Here is a 27,794-nt window from a genome sequence, read left to right on the forward strand (position 1 = left end):
GAGAAAGAAAATATAACTCAGAGATATACCCAGAAAGTGGAACAAGTTACTTTTATTCACATTTTATAGAATAAAACAAGTTGCATGGCAAAGTTTGAGATCTTGGAGCAGGAAATTATAATTGGCTGAGAAGGGGCAGTGAATATTTCAACAGTATTGAAATCTGCCACATCTCCTGTACAATAGCACTCAGACAATTCATAACCATATTATCAACTTATGAAGGAAAGTTGATTAATTTTCAAGTAATTAAAAATTGTGCAAAGTTTATGGATTATTATATATTTAAATATAGTTCTTTTCACAGAAGATGGGTCAGGAAATCAAATGATCTCTTACAAATATACATAGAAAATAATGCAATAGGGTAAGGAATGCAATAAATTTTTTTAATGCGGGTTACAAAAAGTAAACATAAGTTCAGTAGAATACAAATTTTTTAAAAAAGTAATGAGAATGCCATCAGCAGGATGGCAGAAGAGGGGGTCCCAAGCCTGTGTCGTCCCAGAGAAACAAATATTTGGTGGCATAAACAGACAAATTTGACTTTGTGAGAGTCTTGGGATCCAAATAGCTGGTTATAAAACAATTGTTAGATCCAAGGCCAAGGAGTGCCTCTTTGAGAAGTAAGTCCACACACTGCTGCCTTCAGCCACTTCCACCAAAGGACTTGGGAGCCACACCTGTGTGTGCTCCTAGTAATAGGACCTGCAGACCTTGGACCCAACTATGGTCTTTAAAGCAGTTCCATGACCCAACTCCAGTCCAGCTTTCCCTTGGTCTGGAGGCAGTACTGCTCATAGGCCTGGTGGAAGCCACAACCATATGTGGCCCTGGTAGCAGACTTGCCAACTATTAACCCAACTGTAGACTTGGCATGGACACAGAACCTGTTTTCATTCCCACTTAACTGTGATCTCCATCAGCCAGGCGAAGTCTTTACCTGCAGAAATAAGTCTATCAAGACTGGAAGAAGAGTCTTTCCCTTCAAACATAGATGCTAAGGAAAAGCTACATAGATTATAAAGAATGAGGCAAATATAACATCGGTAAAGGAAATAAAAAAGCTCCAGTAAGTAAGTGAAAGAAATGAAGATTCATAAAGTGCTTGGCAAAAAATTCAAAATGTTCATTTTACAGAGACTCAACAAACTACAAAAGAACACAGAAAACTAAACAAAACTGGGAAAACAATACATGAACAAAATAAGAAGTTCAATTAAAAATAGAATTTATTTTAAAACAGGAATCCAGAAACAAGTACACAATAACTGAAATTAAAAATTCATTACAGAGTTTCAACAGTATAGCTGATTACGCAGAAGGAAAAAAACACAAATTTGAAGACAGGGCATTTAAAATTATAAAGTTAGAGGAACAAAAAAGACAAAGAAACAAATGAAAAAGAGTGAAGAAAGCCTACCTGACTTATGGCACACAACATAAACCAATATACACATATAAAATATTCAGAAGGAGTAGATAGACAAAGGAAAGAAAGTTTATTTTAAAAAATAATGACAGAAAAACTCCTAAAACTAGGAAGAAAATTGAACATCCAGATCCATGAGGCCCAAAAAACTCCATATAGGCTGAACATTAAGTTTTCACTGAGATACATTATAATTAAATTGTCAAAAGTGAAAGCCAAAGAGAATTATGAAAGCAGCCAGAGAAACGTGTCTCATTACATGAATGGAAACTTCTTCAGAACTATCAGCAGACTTTTCAGCAGAAAACTCCATCCAGCGGAGAAAGGGTAGATAAATGTAAAGTGCTGAAAGAAAAAGTTGTCACCAAAGAATACTCTTCCCAGCAAAAACTGTCCTTTAAAAATGAATGAGAGATAAAGACTTCCACAAATAAACAAAACCTAAGACAGTTCATAATTTGTACATCTGCCTTGCAAGAAATGCTAAGGTTAACTCACCAAGTTGAAATGATAGGACACAGCCGGGCGCAGTGGCTCACGTCTGTAATCCCAGCACTTTGGGAGGCCGAGGCCGGTGGATCACGAGGTCAGGAGATGGAGACCATCCTGGCTAACACGGTGAAACCTCGTCTCTACTAAAAATACAAAAAATTAGCCGGACGTCGTGGCGGGCGCCTGTAGTCCCAGCTACTCTACTCGGCAGGCTGAGGCAGGAGATTGGCGGGAACCCGGGAGGCGGAGCTTGTAGTGAGCCGAGATCGTGCCACTGCGCTCCAGCCTGGGGGACAGAGCGAGACTACGTCTAGAAAAAAAAAAAAAAAAAAGAAATGATAGGACACATGCACGTTGTGCACATGTACCCTAGAACTTAAAGTATAATAATAAAAAATAAAAATGGAAATAAAAAAGAAATGATAGGACACTAGTTAGAAACATGAAAAAGTATGAAGGTATAAAATTCACAGGTAAAGGTAATTATATAGTCTAATCCTATAAAGATTAGAGTCCAGAATGTTCTAATACTGAAATGGTGGTGAATAAATAACTTTCACTTTAATACAAAAGTTAAAAGACAAAAGTATTACAAATACCTACAGTACAATAATTTGTAAATAGTTACACAATGTAAAAATATGTAATTTGTTACATTAATAATAACATGTAAGGAGGGAATAAAAGTATAATATTTCTTTGCTATCAAGGCTAATTTTTTATTCATTTAAAGTAGACTGCTATAACTACAAAATATTTTACATAAGCCTCCCAGTAATCACAAAGACAAAACCTGTAGTGGATACACAAAAGATACAGAGAGAAATAAATCAAAGCATAACATTACCAGAAATTATCAAAACACAAAGGAAGATAGTAAAAAAAGGAAGAAAGGAAGAGAGAAATTGCAAAATAGAAAATAATTAACAAAATTGCAATAGTGAGTTCTTACCTTTCAAAAATTGCTTTAAATGTAAATTGATTAAATTCTCCAAAAGACTTAGAATGGCTGAATGGATAACAAAAACAAAACAAAAATAAGATCCAACTATACATTTGCCTATAAGAGACTCACTATATCTTTAAGGACATACATAGGTCAAAAATGAAAGGACAGAAAAAACATACCTCAAGCAAATTGTCACCAAAAAAGAGCAGGAGTGTCTATACTTACATCAGACAAAATAATCTTTATGTTAAAAAAAGTCATGTGAGACAATAAGATTATTATATAATGATAAAGGGGTCAATTCGTTAAGAGAACATAACAACTATAAATACATATGAACCCAACATTGAAGCACCTCAATATATAAAGCAAATATTAACAAAATTGAAGGGAAAAATAAACAACAAACACTAATCGCAGAGGACATTTCAACAATAAATAGATCATCCAGGCAGAAAATGAATAAGAAAACAGTGGACTTAAGCAATATTGTAGAATAAATGGAACTAAAAGACATACAAAGAATACCATCAAACAATAGCAGAATACATACTCCTCTCAAGCACAAAAGAACATTCTCCAAGATGTATCTTGTTTTGGGCTATAAGTCTTAACAAATTTAAGAAGTAAGAAATTATGTGAAGCATCTTTTTTATCACCATGATATGTAATTATAAATCGTAATAAGAATAAATTTGGAAAATTCACAAACATGGAAATTAAAAAGAACACTCTTGGATGGTCAATGCATTAAAGAAGAAATAAAAGAAGAAATAAAAAATATTTTGAGACAAATGAAAATGAAAACATATCAAACCTTTTGGGTTTCAGCAAAATAATTTATAACAGAAAAGTTTATAGCAGTAAACAACTACATAAAGGAAAAAAAACTAAAATAAATGGCCTAATGTTACACCTGAAAAAAGTAGAAAAAGAGCAAACTAAGACCAAAATCAGTAGAAGGAGATAGTGATCAGAGCAGGAAGAAAAGGAATTAGAAACTAGAATAACAACAGAAAAGGTCAATAAAACTAAGAGCTGTTTTTTGAAAAGATGAACAAAATCACCAGTTTTTAGCTAGTACAGGAAAAAAAAGAAGATAAAGGTAATCAGAAATGAGGAGGTGACATTACAACAAAAACCACAGAAATACAAAGGATCATAAGAGATTTCTATGAACAGTTATACCCCAAAAAGTTATCTAACTTAATCAGACAAATATCCAGAAACAAACAACTTACCTTGACTGAATTATGAAGAAACAGAAAATCTGAACAGACCAAAAACTAGTTAAGAGATTGAATCAGAAACAGTTTGCTATAATAGAAAAAGCCATAATCACATGGCTTAGCTGCTGAATTCAATCAAACATTTAATCCAAAACTTTTTAAACTCTTCCAAATTAGTGAAGACGAAAGAACACTTCTAAATTAATTTTATAAGGCCAGTATTACCCTAATATCAAAGCCAGACAAGTATATTACATAAAAATTACATGTTATTAGCCCTGATGAACATAAATTCAACAAAACTCAACAAAATACTGCAAACCAAATTTAAAAGCATATTTAAAAAATCATTCATCAAAATTAATATTTGCCCCTGAATGCAAGGATGGTTCAACATATACAAATTAGCAAGTGTGATACATTAAATTAGTAGTATAAAGTATACAAATTATATGATCATTTTAATGCACGCATATAAAATATTTAATAAAATTCAACATTTTTTTCATGATAAAAACTCTCAACAAATTAAGTGCCAAAAGAATGTATTTAAGCATAATAGAGGTCACATTTGACAATTGCACAGCTAATATTATACTCATGTCGAAAGCTGAAATTTTTTTCTCTATGATCAGGGACAAAATAAGGATACCTGCTCTTACCATTTTCATCCAACATGCCACCTGTAGCTATAGTTAGAGCAATTAGGCAAGAAATAAATTTTAAAAGGCTTTCAAATTGTAAAGGAAGACATAAAATTCTGTCTGCTTGCAGACAACATGACGGTATCTATAGAAATTCCTAAACACTCCAGCAAAAAACAGTTAGAACTAATTTAAAAAAATAGTAAAGTTGCAGGATACAAGATAAATATACCAAAATCAATTATGTTTTTAACAGCAAACTATCTGAAAAATAAATTAATAAAACAATTCCATTCCCAATAACAATAAAAATAATAAAATATTTAGGCATACATTTAACTAAGAAATTGAAAGATCTAAATCTTAAAAACTATAAAACATTAAGAAAAGAAATTTACATTGACACATGTAAATGAAACATATCTTATGGTCATGATTTAGAAGAACTAATATTGCTAAATTTCTACACTACCAAAAACAGAAAAATTACATCCATAAATCATCAGGAAAATGCAAATAAAAACTACAATGTAGTATCACATTATTCCTGTTAGAATGAATGATATTAAAGACAAAGATGTGGAAAAAAAGTAACTTTTGTACATGGTGGTTGGGACTGCAAATTGTTACACTTATTATGGATTACAGTATAGAAGTTTCTCAAAAAGTTAAAAATAGAGCTAATATATGATCCAGCAATTCCACTAGAGAGCATATATCCAAAGAAAATAAAATTATTATCTCAAAGAGATACCTGCACTCTAACTTTCATTGCAGCATTATTTATAATACACAAAATATAAAAACAACTTAAGTCTCCATTGACATGTAAATTGATAAAGAAATGTAATGGGATAGATATACATATATGTATCATATATCTATATCTATATTCAGGCATACCTTGGAGATATTGCAGGTTGGGTTCTAGACCACCATAAAAATAAACTCTTGCAACAAAACAAGCCACAGAAGTTTTTTGGTTTACTAGTACATACAAAAGTTATATTTATACTATAATGTAGTTTATTAAGTGTGCAATAGCTTAATTTTATGTCCAAAAAATCATTGTACATACCTGAATTTAAGAAGTACTTTATTGCTAAAAAATGCTAACAATGATCTGATCCTTCAGCAAGTCATAATCTTTTTACTGGTGGGGAATCTTGCCTTGATGTTGATGGCTGCTGACTAATCAGGATTGTGATTGCTGAAGGTTGGGGTCACTATGGCAATTTCTTAAAAGAAGACAAAAGTGAAATTTGCCACATCAATTGACTCTTCCTTTCACAAAAGATTTCTCTGTAACATGTGATGCTGTTTGATAGCATATCACCCACAGTAGAACTTCTTTGAAAATTGGAGTATATCTTATGAAACCCTGCACTTCTTTGTCAACTAAGTCTATGTAAGATTCTAAATCTTTTGATTTATTTCAACAATGTTCACAGAATCTCCACGAGGAGAGAATCTGTCTCAATAAACCAATATCTTTGCTCACCCATAAGAAGCAACTTCTCATCCATTCATGTTTTAGAATGACATTGTAGCAATTCACTCACATCTTCAGACTCCACTTCTAATTCTAGTTCTCTTGCTATTTTCACCATGTGTGCAGTTACTTCCCCCCACAATGTCATCCATGAGTGTTGGAATCAACTTCTTCCACACTTCCGCTAATGTTGACATTTTGGCGTCCTCCAATGAATCATGAATATTCTTTATGAATATTCTTTGTGGAATCTAGAATCATCTTCAGAAGTTTTTCAATTTACTTGTCCAAATGCATGAGAGGAATCAATATCTATAGCAGCTATAGCCTTTCAAAATTTATTTCTTTAATAATAAGACTTGAAAGAAAAAAAATACTTCTTGATCCATGGGCTGCAGAATGCAGATTGTGTTAGCAGGTATAAAAATAACGTTAATTTCCTTGTATAACTCCATCAGAGCTCTTGGGTGACTAAGTACATTGGTCAATGAGCAGTAATATTTTGAAAGAAACCTTTTTTTTTTTTCTGAGAAGTAGGTCTCAACAGTGGGCTTAAAAATATAGAAAACCATTCTATAAAGAGATTTGCTGTCATTCAGGCTTGTTGTTCTATTGTAGAGCACAGGCAGCATAGATTTAGCATGATTTCTAAGGGCCTTAATATATTCAGAATGGTAAATAAGCATTGGCTTCAACATAATGTAAAGAGCTGCATCAGCCACTAAAAGAGAGGTGGCTTGTCCTTTGAAGCTTTGAAGTCAGGCCCATTGACATCTCTTCTTTAGCTACAAAAGTCCTAGATAGCATCTCCTTCCAGTAGAAGGCTCCTTTGTCTACATTAAAAATCTGTTGTTTTATATAGCCACCTTCATCACTTAGCTAGACATTCTGGACAACTTGTTGCAGCTTCTGTGTTAGCACTTGCTGCTTCACCTTGCACTTTAATGTTATGGAGATAGCTTCTTTCTTTAAACCTCATGAGACAATCTCTACTAGCTTCCAACTTTTCTTCATCAGCTTCTTCATCTCTCTCAAGCTTTGTAGAATTGGAGTTAAGGCCTTCTTATGAATTCGGTTTTGGCTTAAGGGAATGTTGTGTCTTCTTTGATCATTTATCTAGACCCTAAAACTTTCTCTATATCAGAAATAAGGCTGTTTTCCTTTCTTATCAATTGTATGTTCACTAGCAATTTTAATTTTTTCAAAGACTTTTCTTTGCATTTACAACCTTGCTAACTTGTTCTGTGCAGAAGTCCTTGCTTTTGGTCGTTTTGGTGTTTTACATACCTTCCTCAGTAAGCTCAATTATTTTAGCTTTTGATTTTGAAAGATATGCAATTCTTTCTTTAATTTTAATAATTAGAGGCTATTGTAGAGATATGAATTGACCTAATTTTAACATTGTTGTGTCTTGGGGAATAGGGAGGCCTGACAACAGGAAGAGAAATGGAGAAATTGTCATTGGTGAAGCAGTCACAACACACACGTTTAAGTTTGCTGTCGTATATGGTTGTGGTTTACAATAGCGATGTCAATGATCACTGATCACAGATCACCAATGCTCATAGATATTAAACACAAAGTTGCCACAAAACTTCGGTTTGTAGAAACAATATCTGCAAAGTGCAAGAAAGCAAAGCACAAAAAATAGGTATGCCTTTGTGTGTGTGTGTGTATATATATATGTATATATAAAGCAGAATATTTCTCTGTTTTATAAAAATAAGATCTTGTCATTATGTGACAACATAAATAAACCCTTAGGATTTTATGCTAAGTGAAATAAACCAGACACAGAAAGAAAATTACTGCATTTTCTCTCCTGTATGGGGAATCTTAAAAAGTTTAAGTCATAGAAGTAGAGAGTAGAATGGTGGTTACTAGGGTACAGGGGGTGGAAAATATTGGGATATGTTAGTGAAAGTGTACGAAGTTTCAGTTTGAAAGATGAAAAAATTTTATAGATCTAATATACAATATGATGACTATAGTTAATAGTACCATCTTTTACTTGAAATAAGTAAATAATACTGTCTTTTATACTTGAAATTTGCTAAAAGAATAGATTTTAAATGTTTTCACCACACATGCAAAAAAGGTACCTGATGGATATGTTAATTAATTTGATTTTGATGAACATCTCACAATGCACATCCATACCAAAATTTTAAATTGTGCACCTGAAATATATATAAAATGTGTTTGTCAATTATGCTTCAGGAAAAGTGGAAAAAAAATTAATAATACAATAAAAAAGTAATTGGTAATAAAATCTTGCTATTAGAGCAAAAATTGCAGATCAGAAAATAAGGGAAAATCTAGAGGGAAAAGAAGAGATACTTGAATTTTGATATAATTGAGAAATAAAGAAAGATATATGAATGCATGTTCCTAGTTTCTTTAGTTCCCAACCTGACATTGTTAGCAGTAGAAGAGCTCTGAGTTACCCTGAATTAAGGGTGGCATAGCCATACAGGTTTATAGCAACTTTAGTCCTTGCCTCCTCAGAAGAAAGAATGTGACTGAGGGGCATAAAGCAGAAAAAGAGACTGAGGCAAATTTTAGAGCAGGAATGAAAGTTTATTTAAAAGGCTTTAGAACAGGAAGGAAGGGAAACCCTTGGAAGAGATTCTAGTGGGCACCTGAAGGTCAAAAAGGAAAGAGGAAGAAGCCCTTTAACCTTGATCCTTAGACTTTACAGGCTCACCTCTTTCCCATGATTCTTCCCTTAGGGTGGGCTTCTTGCATATGCAGTGATTTCCTTAACCTTTGTAATTGAGCACACACAGTGTGATTAGGGAGTAATACGCATGCACATCTGAGGTTTTTATTTTTCCTTTTTTCTGGTGGTATGTGCCCCCTGACTGTCACATTTCACTGTTTTGTCCCTTAACACACATGCCCAAGAGGCCTCTTCTCCCTGGGGTCTGCATTCAATTAACACGTTTAATGTTAACAAGTGTGGATCATCAGGAGATTGTCTCTTCTTGGCTGTTGAATTATTATTTTTAGAGAGGCAAACTGATAATTGCCAAACCATCACCTGACATTTCCAGTGGGACTGGGAAAGCCCTCCCCTGCCCTGCTCATGCCTAACTACCTGAAACAATGTGGTATTGGAGAAAATTCCAAAAAATAACAGTAAAAGTTGGGTGAGGTACATTACTGGGATTAATTTCCAACTTCCTAAAGCTGATGGCTAGATAGAGGAAATTGGAAATCCCTGGCAACTCAACAAAAGTAATTAAGAGAGTTCCTATTATACAGCTGGAATAATAGATATAGTATAACGTCACTGAATGTTAAAATTTATTTTAGTATTAATGAACTTCAACTCCAGAAGACAGAAAAAAGTAAAACACCACCCCTGGCTGCAGGAACGTGATATATTGCATTTTTTGGTTTCTGTTCATTTTAAAGCTTTGCTTTATTGAAGGATAATTATAGACAAAAAATATTTTGTGGAATTTATTCTCAAAAAGACCAGTAATAATTTTAGCTTTCTTTAGTATTTCATACATTCATAAAATAGCAGATTGTAACAGGAATTGCTATAGTACTCGCAATAGAGGTGATTGTTTCTGTGCAATTGATGGAGAAAACTGCATGCAAGTAAAACTTGAACTTTGAAAAACTGAGTCAGGGAAATTGAGAATTATTTTCAGTGATGATATTATTCCTTATAGAAAGCAATCAGTCCAAAATGGAGCAGTATTTTATCCAAAAGTGAGCAGGCTGATTAAAGGCTAATGGAAATGGGAAAACAAAGAAAATCAAAATTAAAATTTCAGGAAAACCTAAAAACATGTTCCACAAAAACTTTCCTAGTGAACAATACATTTTTTTCTATGATATTCTTTCCTTTCTATCTTCTCCTTCTTAGAATAAGCAGTCTCCAAGATTAATAGCTGGTAGTCTATACATTTATCATTCTTTTATAAATAAATTCTTGTGCAAATTCCTAATATCTTAAGGATACCATATTCATTGATTTATTCATTAAAATGGTCAGCATCTGCTTTTAAATATTAATGTCATCTTACATAGTTGACTTTTAAAGAGATAATATTTCTTCAACTTGTTTTCCTCACATAAATTACATTTAAAAATTACTACAAGGTAATTAATATAGAACTAACCCATAGTATTTAATAGCTGCATAATATATGTGAAAATTTATCTAATGACTTTGATACAGATGATTATGCTAACACTTTTCATTGGTTTTGATCTTATTTTGTGTCACATAATAATATTTTATACTATTTTTCATAAAAATACTATTATTGTTAATGGCATCTAAGTGGTTTATAGTTTGGGGCACTATTGTGAATGAGATTTTTTTACCAATTTTATTTTTAACTCATTATGATTAGTATAAAAAAATTCCTATAGTTACCTTACCAAATCAGCCTATTAATTATAGAAGGGTAGATTATCTTTATCATATTATCTCCAAGTATGAAGAGTTATTATTCCTCTTTTATGATATATTTGATAATTATTTTATTTTCTTGTTCAATTTTTTTACCTAAAAACTGCCAAACAGTGTTGAAATATAATGATGATAAAAAGTATCTTTTTTTGCTTCTGGAATTTTATATAATACCTTTGGGATTTTTTACATTAAAATGGCCTTTATATTTGGGTTTTTATTAAATATTTAGACACATTAATACAGTTTGCTTCTAATCCTATTTTATGTAAATTTTTATTTTGTAAGTAAGATTAGGAGAAAATCTACTGGATTTATCATGTAAAACTTTATGAAGTTATAGATAAGAATGAGTTATACCTATCTCAGTGTAATAAGGACTGAGTTTTTTTTCAGGTGACTTTTTAAGCATATGTTACAAAAGTAAATACCTTCTCTTCTTTTTGTTGCTGTAATTCATTATATTGCTACATTACCTGATGTTACTACCTTGCATTCCTGAAATAAATGCTATTTTTCATAAGGTATATTAATAGCAATTGACTAGGATATAAATCATATCCATCATAAAGTATTGTTATAAATTAATATGCAAAATAGTATCCATATATAATCACACCGTCATTATTATTAAAGCGCATGACAATGTTGAGGCTCAGTACACATCACCCTCAATACACATACTTTGGTATGATTGTAGCAGACCAGCTCTGCTACTCCAAAATATACTTACTTGATATATTTTGATCCAATTAGTCTTAGAAACTGAAGACACAGGAGTATCTCTCAAAATTGCCCTTTTGAAACAGAAATTTATATATCTGTGAAGATAATCTACATTAGTAAAATGTTTGTCTCAGGAATAGGGCTGCTACCAGTGAACTTTTATTGCCTGACATACTTTTTACCTGCATAACAAAACAACATTTATTCTCCATACATTTCTTTTTTTTCTTTTCTTCTTCTTTTTTTTCTTTTCTTTCTTTCTTTTCTTCCATCACCCTCCAAAAACTTGTTTCCATCACCCAACAAAAGCCCTAAGTCACTATTCCCCTCTGTAGCTCAAGATGCTGTATCAGCTTCAATCATCTGACCTTTCTTTAAGTCTCATATTTTGTGGAACCCCATGCAATTAAATATGGTTTTTCTCTTGTTAATCTGTTTATGTTAATTTAATTTATAGTCCAACCAAAGAAACTTGAAGTGAGGTGGAAACCAATGTTTCCTCCTCTGAAATAAGTACTCCACTTACAAAAAATGTATTTGATACCCTTGTTAGTGCAAGTATTTTATTTTGTACATTTGCATTTACATTCTTAATTGAGATGGATCTGGATAATAATTATAAATATTTTATAGGTTAGTTGATAGGACTAAATGAATTCACATATATAAAATAATTAGAACAATTCACAGGCATAGTACCATTATAAGATATTTGTTTTCTGCATTCCTGTTTAGCTGCTTTAGGGGTTGGTAGGCAGGGGTGAAAGTTATGAGTTTTATTACAAATAGTGAAATTTTCCCAAGTAAGTAAGACTGCAGGTGGAAAAATTTGAGATTATATGCAGGAGAGTGACTATAATTTCCTTCAAGCATTCTAACTTGCATGAATAGAAGATTAGGAAATAAATGATGAACAAGAAAAAGTTTTGATATTACTGGATTCGAGAACCTTCACAGTGTAAAGGAGTTTCATAGTTGGTATGCTAGGAAAAAAAAAAAACTGAAAAGAAAGTAGAGGTGTTGTTAGAGAGTGGGATACTCCAAATCCAGATAATGAGGGCAGTAAAATTTCTGGTGATGATGAGGTACAGTATGTACAGGAATAGACACACAAGATGAAGTGGAGGGCATTATCTATGAATACAGAATGATCAACAAAATCAGAATTTTAGACTATATTGTGAAAGAAAAAATATCTTGGGGCTCCCAAATCACTAAGATAAATGGAAAAGTCAACCTGGGAACATCTCAGGGCAAACCTGCCTCCGATTCTATTCAAAGTCACCTCTATGCTCACTGAGGTAAATGCATATCTGATTGTCGCCTTTGGGGAGGCTAATCAGAAACCCAAAGGAATGCAACCATTTGTCTCTTATCTTCCTATAACCTGGAAGCTCCTTTCTGCTTCAAGTTGTCCCACGTTTCTGGACCAAAATAATGTTCATCTTACATATGTTGATTGATATCTCATGTATCCATAAAATGTATAAAACTAAACTGTGCTCTGACCACCTGGGACACATGTAGTCAGAACATTCTGAGGCTGTGTCTTGGGTGCCCATCCTCAAGCTAAATAAACTTTCTCAGTTAACTGAGACCTGCCTCAGACACTGAAGGTTCACATTTTGGTAACAACAAGGAGATTCTGAGTGGATGTACCTCTGACCTTTGACAAATTTCCTATCAGTGCTGGGTACCAGCACGAGCTAACTTTATGGCTCAAACAAATAGGACAATTTGCTAAGGTCTGGGAGCACCCTTCCAGAGACTCCCTGATCTCCCAAAATAAAGTTTATTTTGCTGTACAACTCTCTTTATTTTTAAAGTTTTACTTGCTTCCAACAAGGAAGATAAGATTTCCTGTTTCTATGGTAATCTGGCAAGTAACTGGAGTTTGAGTTTGCTCCCAGAGGGGAGGATAAGTTTGAGTTATTTTTCCTCTTTCCAGGATGGTAAAGGATAATCTTCAGCCTGAGACCTATCCCTTGGTAAGCAGGTGAATTGGGGTTTTGTCTTGGCTAAAGTTAACAACCAGCTGGTCTTAATTTCTCCTCACCATTAGAGTGCTCAGTGATTATATTGTTGGTTTTTTGTTGTTGTTTGTTCTGGTCTTTCTCTCTTCAGATTTGACCAACTCTTCCTGACTTGGTCAAATCTGAGAGAGAACTCAGAATTATGAATAACAAAGCCTCTCTAATTTTGCTAAAATTCCTCACAGCTCCAAAAGAGGAAAAAAAAAAACAAAAAACAACCAAAACCCCTCAAAAATCCAGTTTGTTTCTGTGTTTGCTTTCTGTCTTAAAAAAAAAAAAAAGTTTTTTCATTTACTTTTCTTCCACCTCCTTCCCCCTCTTGCCATCTGTAGTACCAAAAATCTAGAGAAGGCTTCTAATGACTTGCACCCCTTTAAGGAATTCAGAACAAAGGTGCCACTCACCCCTTTGGAGGTGTTCTGTTTTCTTTCTGGAGTTTCAGAAGTCATGGGTAGATTCTGCTTAGATGTAAAGCTGTTTTTCTGTATTGCATGATCTGACCTCTTTGGCTTTGGGGATACCAAAGACTACCTTGTACTGTGAGAGAATTTGACTTTGGTGTGTGTAGTGGCTGACAAGAGCTATAAAGTAGGGGTGGCTGAGAACAGTTTATAGATAGTGGTCTTGCCTGCTGTTTCTTTTCCTCCTGGAAAGTTGTTGTTTAAGGATCCTAATTCTAGTTCGAAGATGCATTCTGAAGGGTCTTCTCTGCTTGCTTTTTCTCCCAAAATTTGGCTTGTCTGTGCACATTTGCATGAGGAACCAAACTCTTGTTTTCATAGGTAAATGAGAGGCTGAGTTTCCTCAGCTTTGAAAAAAAGGACGTTTTGCTCCTCCCTGCCAAAAAGGCACCCCTGGGTGACTGAGGGCCTCATGGGAGGGTCCAGGGGGCCTGACCCCACTCAACATCCAGTGGTCCTGCAGGGAAATTCCCAACAAAAATTAACTTTTTAAAAACAGGATCGTCCAGGAAACGCATGTAAGGGCTGATCACTCAGTGTTTTGAGCCCTCTCAGAGGTCATAGACCTCTGGAGAGAGAAATTGAGACACCTAAGAGGATGGAAATGACGTAGTGGTGATACACTGTGGAGTCCTGCTCACAAGCAGCACACATCAGTCCACCACACAAACACCCTAGGCCACAGCTCAATTCCTCCTTTTAAGAAAAAAAAAAGTGGGAAACAAATAATCTATGAATGAGGAGAAAAAAAGAAGAGTGACCCCCTTGCAAGCACTCTGTAGGTTTTATGGCACCTCTACTTGCCAGAGTTTATGTGAAATGGAAATAATATGGTCTTTATGCACAGTTACATTAAGAAAAAAGAACCCTAAGGTCACTCTGCAAATGATAGAGTTTCTAAGTTCTCTTTTTGCTCTATTTTCTTTTCTGCCTGCTTTAAATCTGCTGTTATTTTTCTATTAAGATAAAAACCACTGTTTGTATCCAACAGGTTATTTATTTGCAAGCTGGTGAATTTGTATTTATCTCATGCCTACATCTCTAAAGTAAGAGCTATAGAATCTTTGTGTGTGTGTGTGTGTGTGTGTGTGTGTGTGTGTGTTTATTTAGAAGGCCTTTATAATTTCTATAATTTCATGTTTAATTGGCAATTAAGTCAGTTTTAATTTCTCTTCAGCACACCAGACTTTCTCTCACCATATCTTATGATGTAAATTTTGCTATTTGATTTTCACCTGAGTTCTTTCTTTTAGCATGCAAATTTAAGGCTATTTGGCTGACAACTGCCTAGGGTTACCAAGAATTGATACAGGTTACCTATTGAAACACGTTATGAAGAATTTGAAGCCTAAGATGGAAAAAAGAAGGTTTTTATGAATTTATAAGATGTACTTTTACCAGCATGCCAAATATATCTATGTATTTATGTGTTATGCACACAATGTTTCATTAATAAAAATATATAAAGTAATTCTAATTAATCAACTTAATAAAATAAAAGTGCTTGAATCAAATACTTTATCAGAAAAAAAAGAAAAGACTAGTCAAATGCTTTTTCAAGTGTACATAACTTAAGTGAAATCTTTAATAGATAAGCTAACTTTAAAATTATTGGTGAAGTATAATAATATTAGAAACATCTTCAGAATTGCCAGTATACATTTTTGTTGGCATCAAAATTTGGCATAGGGGTTGCAAAACTATAAACCAAGCCCAAAACAGAATGATGTTTGCTTGTGTAATTTTTAATTAGTAAGATCTTGATATTGGTTTAATGAAAATAGCTACATCTTAAATTTAGTAAAATTACCATAACTTCTAATGTGGCTTTAGGCAGTCTAGTCCACAGGCAGTAAGATTTGCTGTGGGAAAGGGCTGCTATTATCTTTGTTCAAATCTAAACTATAAACCAAGTTCCTCCCAAAGTTAGTTTGGCCTATGCCAGGAATGAACAAGGTCAGCTTGGAGGTTAAATTCAAGATGAAGTCAGTTAAGTCAGATCTTTTTTACTGTCGCTTATAATTTTGCAATAGCAGTTTCATAACTTTAGATGCTGACTCTAATTTTTTATAAATAATCTATGTAAAAAATTACAATAAAAAATTATGTAAATGTAATGAGATAAATACTTATAGACAAATTCATGATTTAGAAACTAAAGTTATATTAAATTAAATAGTAGATATTTCACTATTTGAGTATTTTTTAATAAAATCTATTTGTCAGAAAATGTGTGTTTTTGTTTAATTCAAGGCTTATTTAAAGGTTATGTTTAAAACAAGGTAAAAGGAAACAGGAAATAAGAAAGAAGTAAAGAAAGTTATATGAATAAAGAGGATTTTTTTGGTAAGTAAGCTTAAAGAGAAATAATTTTTTATGAGAAAGAATCTTTTATGGTAAATTTAGTCTTGTAATAAAATGACTGGTTGTTTAAGAAAGAAGAATGTTCAGGACAAACCAGGAAGTCCAAGTGTATCATGAATGGTCTGTGTAACAATAAGAGGCTTTATTAAAAAAATAAAACTTTCATATAATCAAGTTGTTGATAATTAAAGGAAAATTATAATGATCTTTCTAGAGATTGAGGTGAATGTAAAAAAAACACTTATTACTAAATAGTTGGTTAGAACAAAAAAATTTCTTAAGAGATTGATTTGTTCTTAATAAATTATGAAAGATTTTAATTTTTTAAACTCAAAGTTTAACTTTTCTTTCATCTCACCATTTTTGGTTTTCTCTCTCATTTTAAAGGGTGTGAAATAGCAACGCTGTCCTTCAACTAATTTTCAGCTCATATAAGTTTTTTTCCTTGAGTTCTGCTCATTGTGGCCTAATGCTAATGATGGTTTCTTAAAGGATTAAAGGAAATTTTTTCTTCCAACCTAATAGTCTGTGCATTGCAGAAGGTCTTTTCTTTTGCCTTTTGGCAACTGGCCTAACAGATTATAAGATATATCAAAACAATTCCTATTCCATTATTATTATGTTTTGGTTCCCTTAGGAAAAAAACTAAGATTAAAAAAATTCTTAAATTAAGGTTATCACATTCGTGTATCATTCTGTATGTGCTTTTAAAGTACTTGTGACATTGACTTATGGGGCTTTGACTCTTGGATCTTAAAAAGGGCACCAAATTCTGCTAAATCTTAAACACTGACAACAATTAAACACTTATCATCAGGTCCAGTGGAAGACACCAATCAGAGTAAACTGCATTCTTAAGATACAGGGCCAGAAATTAAAGCTATGCAATTCCTCAAGATCCAGAGACTATCATGGAAGAGGTGGGTGTGTGAGATTGTGACAGTGAATTTTGAGAGATATAATAAGTTCAATTTCCCTATAAATTAATCATTATGTCAAAGGCATACTCATGCAAGACCAGCATATGGGCCCCTGTGTCAGATTAACAAGGTTTTCTTGAAGCACTAACTGACTCCTTAATAAAGGTTATAAAGGTTATAAAAGGCTTATGAAACTTATATATTATGGTCAAGATGAAAATTTTATAGATTTTTTATACAATTTTGAAAAACAAATTTACTTGGCTTCTTTTTTCAAGGCTTACTGTTTGGAAAATTAAGTCTCCTCTCTCAAAGAATGAAGGCCTTTTTTTTTTTTTTTTTTTGGAAATCCTCAGTTATCACTATGGTCAAAGGAATGACTTATTTGACAATGACCTGTGATATCAAGTGTTTTAAACCTCTGATATTTGACAAACTTTCCAAAATTAAATTATAAATTATGTATTTTTCTTACCTAATTAATTCTTTAAGATATTAGGTTCCCTAAAGTACAAAAATGACATAATTTGGCTTATTTGGTATAAAATTATATAGGAAACATTTTCAAATATGAAACGATGTTTGGTTTTCCTTGGGTTGTGCTCTGACCACCTGGGGCATATCATCAGAACCTTCTGAGACTTTGTCATGGGTATGCATCCTTGACCTTGGCAAAATAAACTTTCTAAATTAACTGAGACCTATCTCAGATATTCAGGATACACAGTATGAATCATAATAGATATAAACATTATTAATGATAAAATTTATAATAAGGAAAATCAGAGTGATCTACATATTAAAAAATTGGTAAATTAGGGAGAGCAATGAGGGAATTGGTTGCCAAAAGCTCCAGGAAAGGGTCACATTTGGTATATTCAAAAGAAATGGGCTCCAAAGGGCTAAGGTTGATTTTTTCATTGATATACTCACTATTTTTACTTCTATTTTAACTATGTCAAGTTCTGAAAGACATATTTAAAAGTCACCAGTTATAATTATGTTTTTGTCAGGTCTTCAGTGTATTTCTAGGAATATTTCTTTTTTATGTGCCACTGCTGTTGTTCTATATAAAATGATTTATGACTCTTACATCTTTTTTCTAAATTATACCTTTTTTTATTACATAGTGTCAATCTGGGTCCCACTTTCCCACTTAATGCTTTTGACCTTAAATGTCACTTTTTCTGCTATTAATATTGCCATTTATGTTTTTTCCCCAGTTTCTGAAATCTCTATTCATTACTTTGACCATTTTTACCTCTTTCTTTTAGATTTTTGTTGTTTTTTCTTATAAAGACATATAGTTGGAATTAATTCCTAACCACTAATGCAGTCATTGTCTTGGAATATTCAGCCTATTCATAAATGATGTATTAATAATTGTCCTTAATTTATTTCTTCTATATTGTTTTTTCCTTAACATGGACTTTGTTAGCTTTGGTTTTCCATTGTTTTTGGCTTAATAAATATTCTTTTCTTTTTGTTAGTATTGTCAAGTATTTATTTTTTATAAAAATTCAAGGTCATAGCAAAATTGAGTAGGAAATACAGAATTCCCACGTACCCTTTCCATGCCTGCATATACAGGCTTTGGCAACATCAATGTACCAGTGTGGTATATCTGTTACCAATTGATAAGCCATCATTGTCACATCATTATCAACCAAGTCCACAGTTTACATTAGGGTTCACTCCTGGTATTGCACATTTTGTGGTTTGTGTTTGTTTGAGATTGGGTATCACTCTGTCACTCAGGCTGGAGTATAGTGGTATGATCATAGCTCACTCTAACTCAGGTTCCTGGGCTCAAGTGTTCCTCCTGCCTCAGCCTCCCAAGTAGCTGGGACTACAGGTATATGCCATCCTGCCCAACCAACTGAAAAGTTGTAGATAAAAAAAGCCAGGTGTGTTGGTGTGTGCCTGTAATCTCAGCTCTTCAGAAGGCTGAGGCACAAGAGTCGCTTGAGCCTGGAAGACGGAGGTTGCAGTGAGCCGAGATCAGGCCACTGGACTCCAGTCTGGGCTACAGAGTGAGACTCTGTCTCAAACAAAAAAAAAAAAAGTATTTTGGAAAAGAACGTACTAAAATTATATCAAAGATATGCCAATCAACTGAAAATAAAAATGAGGTAAAGGAAAAATTGGCATCAGAAACATAGAATTTAAAGCAAAAGATGTTAACTGAGCCAAAAAGAACCACTGTATTTTAAAGAAGAGTATAAAGTATTATGGACACAGTGGACCCTTAATTGACATGGAGTTTAGGGGTACTCATGTCTTTCTTGCACAGTTAAAAATTCAACAGTAACTTTTGACTCCCCCAAAACTTAACTAGTAACAGCCTACTGTTGACTGGAGGCCTTAACAATAACATAAACCATTGAATAAAACATACTTTGTATATTATATTTATTATATACTATATTCCTACAATAAAGTAAGCTAGAAAAATTATATCAAGAAAAATCATAAAGGAGAGAAAATAAATGTACTATTCATTAAGTGGAAATGCATCATCATAAAGGTCTTTATCCTCATTTTCTTCACATTGAGTAGTAGTAAATAATCTAAATGATAGTAACATTAATAAATAGATTTCAGATATACTTGAGTACTTAACATGTGATTCATTTCCCACAAATTAATTCAAGAGCTCACAGTTTTCAGTAATACTATTAAGACAACAAAATATCATGACATAAAAAAGAACAATGGCCTCCAGCTCTATCCATGTCTCTGAAAAGGACATGATCTCACTCTTTTTCATGGCTGCATAGTATTCCATGGTGTATATGTACCACATTTTGTTTATCCAGTCTATCATTGATGGGTTTGTAGGTTGATTCCACATCTTTTGCTATTGTGAATAATGTTGCAATGAACATGCATGTGTCTTTATAATAGAATGATTTATATTCCTTTGGGTATATTCCAAGTAGTGGGATTGCTGGGTCCAATGGTATTTCTGTCTTTAGGTCTTTAAGGAATCGCCACACTGTCTTCCACAATGATTGAACTCATTTACACTCCCACCAACAGTGTACACATATTCCTTTTCCTCTACAACCTTGCCAGCATCTGTTATTTATTGACTTTATAATAATAGCCATTCTGACTGGTGTGAGATGGTATCTCACTGTAGTTTTGATTTGCATTTCTCTAATAGTGATGTTGACATTTTTTTTTCACATGGAGGCCATTATCCTTAGCAAACTAACACAGGAACAGAAAACTAGATACCGGATGTTCTCACTTATAGGTGGGAGCTAAATAATGAGAACACATGGACACATAGAGGGGAAAAACAAACTGGGACCTTTGGAGGGAAAGACTGGGAGGAAAGAGAGGATCAGGAAAAACAACTACTGTGTACTAAACTTAATATCTGGGTGATGAAATAATCTGTACAACCCCCATGACACAAGTTTACATATGTAATAAACCTGCACATGTGCCCCTGAACTTAAAATAAAAGTTAAAAAAAGAACAATGATGAATATAAAAGGAAAGCAATAGAAACAAACCAAATTTTTTAAATAAAAGAAAAAGGATAAAAAAGGCAAGTCATGAGTCAAAAATAAAATCAAGTAAAAAAATAGCAGTGCAAACAAAATTATGGGATGTGGCAAAAATATACCTGTAAAGAAAATCATAATCCTAAATTTTTTAATATCAAAAGAGAATAAATTCTTCAAATCCAACATCCAACTAAGTAAACAAGAGAATGCATAGCAAAAAAACAAAAATAATATAGAATAATTGCAACAATAAAGACAACATGAGCAATTTAGGAAAAAGAAATGACAAATGACAAATCTGGAAAGCAAGTCTTTTAAACACTGAAAATATTAGAGATATTTCTTACAAAGTAATCAAGAATAAATTAAAATATAATCACAAACAATTGCCAGTGTGAATTATTAATATGATATAACTGTATAGATCAAATATATTTTACAAACAATAGGAGATTATATCAAATAATAATACATATTAAAACTCATAGGAAATTATACGATATTGTGAGAAAATACAATTGATCAAAGCCGAATTAATTAGAGAAATACAATTTAAGTATTTCACTAACTATATGAGAAAAACAACCAACACAACAGCAAACCATCTTCCAATACACCTATAATGATACTGAGTTAAAACTGTTTTATAAGAGATTTCTGTAGAATTTTTAGGCAGTAGATTAAGTTTACATGATTAGAATTGCTTCAGCACATGGATCAGCCAAAAGGATTTGCCATTGCATTTTTGAACTCAGCATATTTCTTACTAACTTGCAGAGGATGGCATTAAAATAAAAGCATATTAACTCTGTATATTTTGAATTAAATTAAGTAGCATGCAAAAAAATAAATATAACAGGAAGAACTAGTATTTATCCCTAAAATTCAAGGATGATCCAATTAGAGAATTCATTAGCTGCAAATTATATTGAAATAAGCTAAAGATAGATTTGATCAAATTCTACATTCATTCCTGGCAAAACAATAAAACCAGAACAGACTATTTCTCCAACATAATAAAATAAAACTTATATCAAGCCAAAAGCAGTAGTCATGGTTAATGTTTATATCTTCCATTGATCAAATCATTTGTATTAAAAATCAAGAACAAGACAAGACGTGAGCTCTCATTCTAAATCAATAACACAAGAAAACAAAATAATTTAAAAAATCAAAAACAGGAAAAACATTTCAATGTTAATACAATTGCCTAATCAGCTCAAAAAAGAAAATAAATTAGCCAGTTGCAAATTTAATGCAACTTTCCAAAACAAGACATATATAAGATGATGAAAAAATCTCTTTAGAAAACGTTGCTCAAAATCATACGAAACTTAATCACATCTAAATATGCTCTATGTAAAGAGAACAGGAATCTAACTATTAAACAAGATAATTTAAATACATGCAATGGGATAGCTTGCATTAATATTTTCAAAGATGCATTACTTCTAATGTTAGCCTATTTGTTAGATTTATAATGAACATTTTATTAGATTTTTAGAATTGGAAAATAATGATTTTTAAGTTTATCTAGAAATATAAAGATTTGTGTAAGAAAATGTGATGGAAAGTCTTAATTTATTATGTAATAAATGAGGTTAAAATTTTATTTTAATCAAATAAATGGACACTACTGTCAAGTTATATATATAGAATAATCACATTAAGTTTAAATTTAGGAATTTATATTGAAACATATAATATAAAGATAACATTTCTTTTTAGTGGGTAAAGGATAGAGGTTAATCCTATACTTAATGCCAAAGCAAAACTCAGCTGTATTAAATATTCAATATATCATAATATGTAAATATATATATATATCATCAGAAGTCCATATAGGTAAATATCTATATAATCATAAGCTAGGAAACAATATATTTAATAAAGAAGTCAGTTGAGTACATAACATTTTTTTTAAAGTCTATATGAAGAAAGACCATAGTCTTTAAGAGGAGACAAACATCAGGAAAACCATTTGCAACAAATTTAAAACATGAGATTAGTATCATAAATATGTAAAACTATTCATACAAAATAATTTCAAAAATTCAATATCTACATCGTACAATTCACTAATTATATGTTATAAAAATTGAACTGTAAAACACTAAATATTTGTGAAAAAACATGTCTCAGTGTCAATGCTAATTATAATAGTAAATACATTATTAAATAACTATAGTACATATTAATAAGTATGTGGTAAATAAACTGGAAAATCCAAGAGTAAGCTAAATTTAAATAAGAAGGGATTTGTTTAAATACATTTTTATACATCTAAGGTAACATTACAAAGTTAATTAAAATAGCATGCATTTTACTATGAAAATTATTTTATGACATAATTTGTTTGCAGAAAACACCAGTGTTTTAAACCTCTTTAAATATTAAAGATTTAAACTTTTGTGATATAAAACACATATTTATATAAAACTAAGACATAGAAAATTGTAAGGATGTATAATTATCTAAAAATATAATAAAAGTTATCTCTGGCTGGAGGAATAACAGTTATCCCTGGCTAGTGAAGATATTATATATTTTCATTTTCATTGTGCCTTCTCTATATTCTTTAAAATTATGAGCTACTTTTCTATTTTTAAATGAGTTTTTTGTTATCCAAGTCTGTAGGTTAATAAGTACAAATATTGAATTAGGATGCTGAAACAGAGACTTGGATGAATTGTGGAAAATACTCTTTAGAAATACTTTATCTCACAAATTATAGTCAAGTAACCAGGACCTAAATACATCCATTCACTCTGTCTTGTGCTTTTTTTTCATTTTGTGTGTATCTGCATACCTGTTGCAAGACCAACAGTGTGGGGTGCTGCCAAGCTAGGAAGCAAGGGACTATTCCTGTGAGGTCAGTTGCTGGGGCCTTATTGCCTGGAAGAGGAAAAATATCTCAAAAAAGAATATTGAAAGTATCAATTAAACATTTTTGAAAATCCAGGTACTGATTTTCACAATTGTCTTTATGATCCACCTGTAAGTGTTGATGCAGTTTTGCTTAGGTTCCAAAGTAAAGACTAATGATAGATTCAGATTAATGGAAATACCATGTCAGGCTAGAAGTTAGTGTATACCATAATGTTTGTCCCCTCATCTGTACAATGAATATTACCACTGTAGTGGGAATTAACTTTTCCATTATGTGTGAGCAATCTTTAGGATAGAGGTTAACATTCAACAGTCAGAAACATCAATCAAAATTCTTTTCTTTTGCACTTGTAGGAGCTCATAAAAGTTTTAATGATGAATATATTTTATTCAAAATGACATTAGTACAAAGAAAATAAAAATAATAATTACCTTGAATTGAGTTGTAAGAACTCTTCCTTTAATGAGCAATGTTGCATTTGAACACGTTAATGGGTCATACAAATCCTGATGTGAAGAGCTAGTAGGAATTTTTCTGTTTATGTTAATGAAAAAATATATATAGTCTTCTATTTCACAACTTTTGTGTGTGTAATTTTAATATTTGACTATTATTCATTGGGGCATGCATTTAGAGGATAGAAATAACAATTTTTTTCTGAAATTAATATTTTAATTTTCTGGCTACAGAAAATGTATGTCCAATTAAGAAAATTTGGGCTATGTAATAGTATAGTAAGAATCACATCTGGGCAGACCACTCACAGATCATTAACACTTCCATTAATTAATATATTCTTAACATTAATATTTATTATATATATATTGGTTTCCTGCTAGCTTTGTCTTTTTTCCTCCTACCTTTTCCTTTCCTCCGTCTATTGCTTTCTTCCTCTCTCCCTCTCTTCCTTCTTCCTTTATGTTCTTCCTTTCTTATTCCTTTTTTTCTCTCTTTGTCTCTTTATATTTATTCTTTTTATTATGTATCAACTGGCCTATCAGCCACATGATCTCTCATCTTTCAACATATTTATAGTTAAGGACATATTGCATATGCATCCTCCATTCATTTGCCTTTTTAGAAATTAATTTTTATTGTGAGCATTTTTAATATATTGAAATGTTAGCTATAAGTATAATTTTGAATGGTTTATAAAATTCCACAATAAAAAGGGCTTGACTAAATCACACCATTAATGTTGGCTTGAAATCCTTCTTTACATTGCTGTTTTTAAACTGCCTCTCTTTATTGTTGCTATAGGACAATGCCAGAATTGTTATCCCCCAAATGACTTTAAAATACTGCATACATCAACAAGGTATTTAGAATTTAGATTAACTTTCTATATATATTTAGAAATATTACCTGGACATATTTAATTTAATTTAATTTAGTTTGTGTGTGCGTGTGTTTATAAAGTTCAGCTATTATGAAAGAGTCATCACTTTCATGAAAAGAGATTATACTTACAGGAAATTGTGAACATCAATTTAATACATACGTAATTCATCATTTTTCAGCCATGTTTTCTAAAACCCTTCCAAATTGAGTGTGCCCACTGGGCCTCAGTCAGAGACATAAAGAAAAATGAAAACAAAAACAAATAAACTAGATTGAATTATATGAGCTCAGTAGAGTTATTGTGAAAAGGAATCAGCCTATATAACTATATATTTTTCTCATATTTTTATTAAGTAAAAGTTGTCATGCTGCCCAAACCAAAATTCTCTATGAATTCTTAAGCAGAAAAATAAATACTACGGTCATAGGTTATTTCCAAATCAAGGCCAAAACAAAGATTTTTAGAAAGAAAATTGGTGCTCCAAATAACCTATCTGAAAACGAAGTCTGTTGAGCCACCACAGAGAGCTGTAATAGTCATGTCTGGGGAATTCTAGGCATTCTGTAGCTGTTTGCTGGAGTTCAGAGTAATGAATCCAAGCAATCTCAATTGCCTTGCCTACTGTAGAATGGTTGTGCCTCAATTTTTTTCCTTTATTTTTCCATCTATGACTCAAGATTAAAAAGTACCAGACCGTGAAAGAATGCTACAGTGTTAGAGTTCATATGGCAGTAATTTCTCTTTGCTCTGCTGTGAATTCTCTTCCTTTTTATTCTTGCATTTTTCCCTTCCGTTTTATAAATGAAGTCTGAATCAGTTATTACTGCATAAGGTTAGGCTACTGATATGGACACCAAGAAAATTGTGATTTAGTAAAATAATAATGCATTAAACTTGGGTGGCACATTTCCTCACAACTTTCTTGAACATTAATCATCCTCAGACTTCCCCATCAGGCAGGAAATTTGGACAAAAAAGCAAAAAAAAAAAATGCTGAGAATTGTCAAACTTATTAAAAGCCAAAATGAAAGCAGAGGTAAAAGTTTTTCAAAAATAAACCACAGTTTTGCATTGGTATCTGCCTGTCTTATTTTGTAGCTAGACCAGCCCAGCTGGGGATAGAGCTTGCTCACTGACAGATTTATGCAATGGGAATAAAAAGTCAGGAAGGTGATAAAATACTATTCCCTGTGCTCTGACATAAATATCTGTAAGAAGGAGCAAGCAATTTTTTCAGAGGTCAATATTCTCTTAATTAATTTACTTTTATTACTTTTTTCAATGGGACATAAAGTTAGGGGTATATTTAAGAAGACCCCTCTCTGCACCAGAGAAGCATTGACCATTTACTCTATCCTCCATCTTTGAAAATAAATTCTAACATGATGGAATTGAAATTCAAGGATATACTCTGGGATTTAGAGATTTTGGTGGAACACAAGAAAAGTTTCAAGTATTTTGGGTATACTTCTTGTGATTTATTTTGGGTGTTTTTCTGAAACTGCTTTGTGTTCTCTTCTCTCTCTCTTGTATTCAATGCCCTCTACTAAGGAGAAAAAAGAACACACCTGTATTTGAACAAGTTGAGTTAATTTCCCATCGTAGCAAAGGACAATGCACATCATGGGGAATTGTGGAGCATCTCTGTAAATGGGTTTTAGAAATGACTTACTCTATCTGAACTTTGCTTTAGTGATTTTCGGGAGGATTGAAAGAAGTGGGCTTACTCTGGATTGGATGCTATCATAAAGTTTAGACAATTCTATGACTGAGTTTAATCTAGAAGGGAGATAGATGAGAGCAAGTCTAACACTGTTTCATAAGGAAATAGCATTCACTCGTATTAACTGGTTTAAAGAAATGTTTAGTCACTTATTTGATGTGGACAATGTTCATATTTTGCCTTTGTACAGGAATTATTATGAAGTGGTCTTGCCTTAGTCTTGGTCTATCATGGTGACAGAATAGCCTTGTCTGATATTAACGTTTTCTGAGATTGTTTATGTCCAATAGAAGAATATCAAAGCCTAGTTGAAGAGCCAGACCACCCCATAGCAACACCAAGACTTAGCTGTTACTACTAGCAGGCTGACTCCTGGAACTCAGGTGTTGCCATTCTCTTTCTCTCTTCTTCACTACAATATCCCAGGCTTGAATCTCATGTCTTATGGAGAAGATATTCTAGGAAACCAAGCAGGCACTAGATGAGAAAAAAGAGAAGTCATAAGAGAGGAAACAGCTTAAATTATACTTTAGTATAGACAAAAGAAGGCATCAGGCTTCAGAAATAGCCTAATTTCAACAATATAAGAGATTGTAAACGTATCTGACTCAAAAGCAACATATGATCATGAATAGCATTCATTTTGACTTTAAGTACAATGAAAAGAGAGAGAAAGAATCTATTTAAGAACCAAGAACCTGAGACTAAGCAGAATTCAGAGAAGCTAGTCACATAAAGACACTATTTTTCCATAAGAATTGAGAAGTCCTGTGTAATTCTCATCTGTACCCATATATGATCATAATGCAGAAATAAATGTATTTCATTGGTGAGACATGGAATTTGTATTCAGATATCATACTTTTTCTATACGTTTTCTATGGTTAAAACTTTATATTATTTCACTCCATCACACATTTATGCATCAATTTATTTATTTCATGAAAGTGTCACCAATTCCACATGGCATACTAAGTGGATATTGATTGAATCAATCAAATACAGTTTCCGCCCTTTCGATGCCAACATTTCACATGGAAGAAACCAATTTTTAAAGTAATTTTAAAAACATTTTATTTATTTATTTATTTATTTATTTATTTATTTATTTATTTATTTTTGAGATGGAGTTTCACTCTTA

The 27,794-nt window shown here is 32.2% G+C and overlaps 1 long non-coding RNA gene across 2 annotated transcripts in view; it reads right to left on the reverse strand.

The window, feature by feature from the left end:
- Window positions 1-37: 37 nt before the first annotated feature.
- Window positions 38-27,794, reverse strand: part of LOC105374020 (uncharacterized) — a 122,436-nt gene continuing 94,679 nt past the window's right edge. The window contains exons 4-6 of one of the 2 annotated variants that reach the window (XR_924300.3): window positions 23,508-27,130; window positions 1,931-4,143; window positions 38-943 (exon numbers count right to left, since the gene is read on the reverse strand). This is a non-coding gene — a long non-coding RNA (uncharacterized LOC105374020). Of the gene's footprint in view, window positions 27,131-27,794 lie in introns of both variants that reach the window. The other variant, XR_924301.3, reaches the window with a different exon arrangement.

The sequence above is a fragment of the Homo sapiens genome, chromosome 3 (assembly GCF_000001405.40).
Source record: "Homo sapiens chromosome 3, GRCh38.p14 Primary Assembly".
NCBI classification, from domain to species: Eukaryota; Metazoa; Chordata; class Mammalia; order Primates; family Hominidae; genus Homo; species Homo sapiens.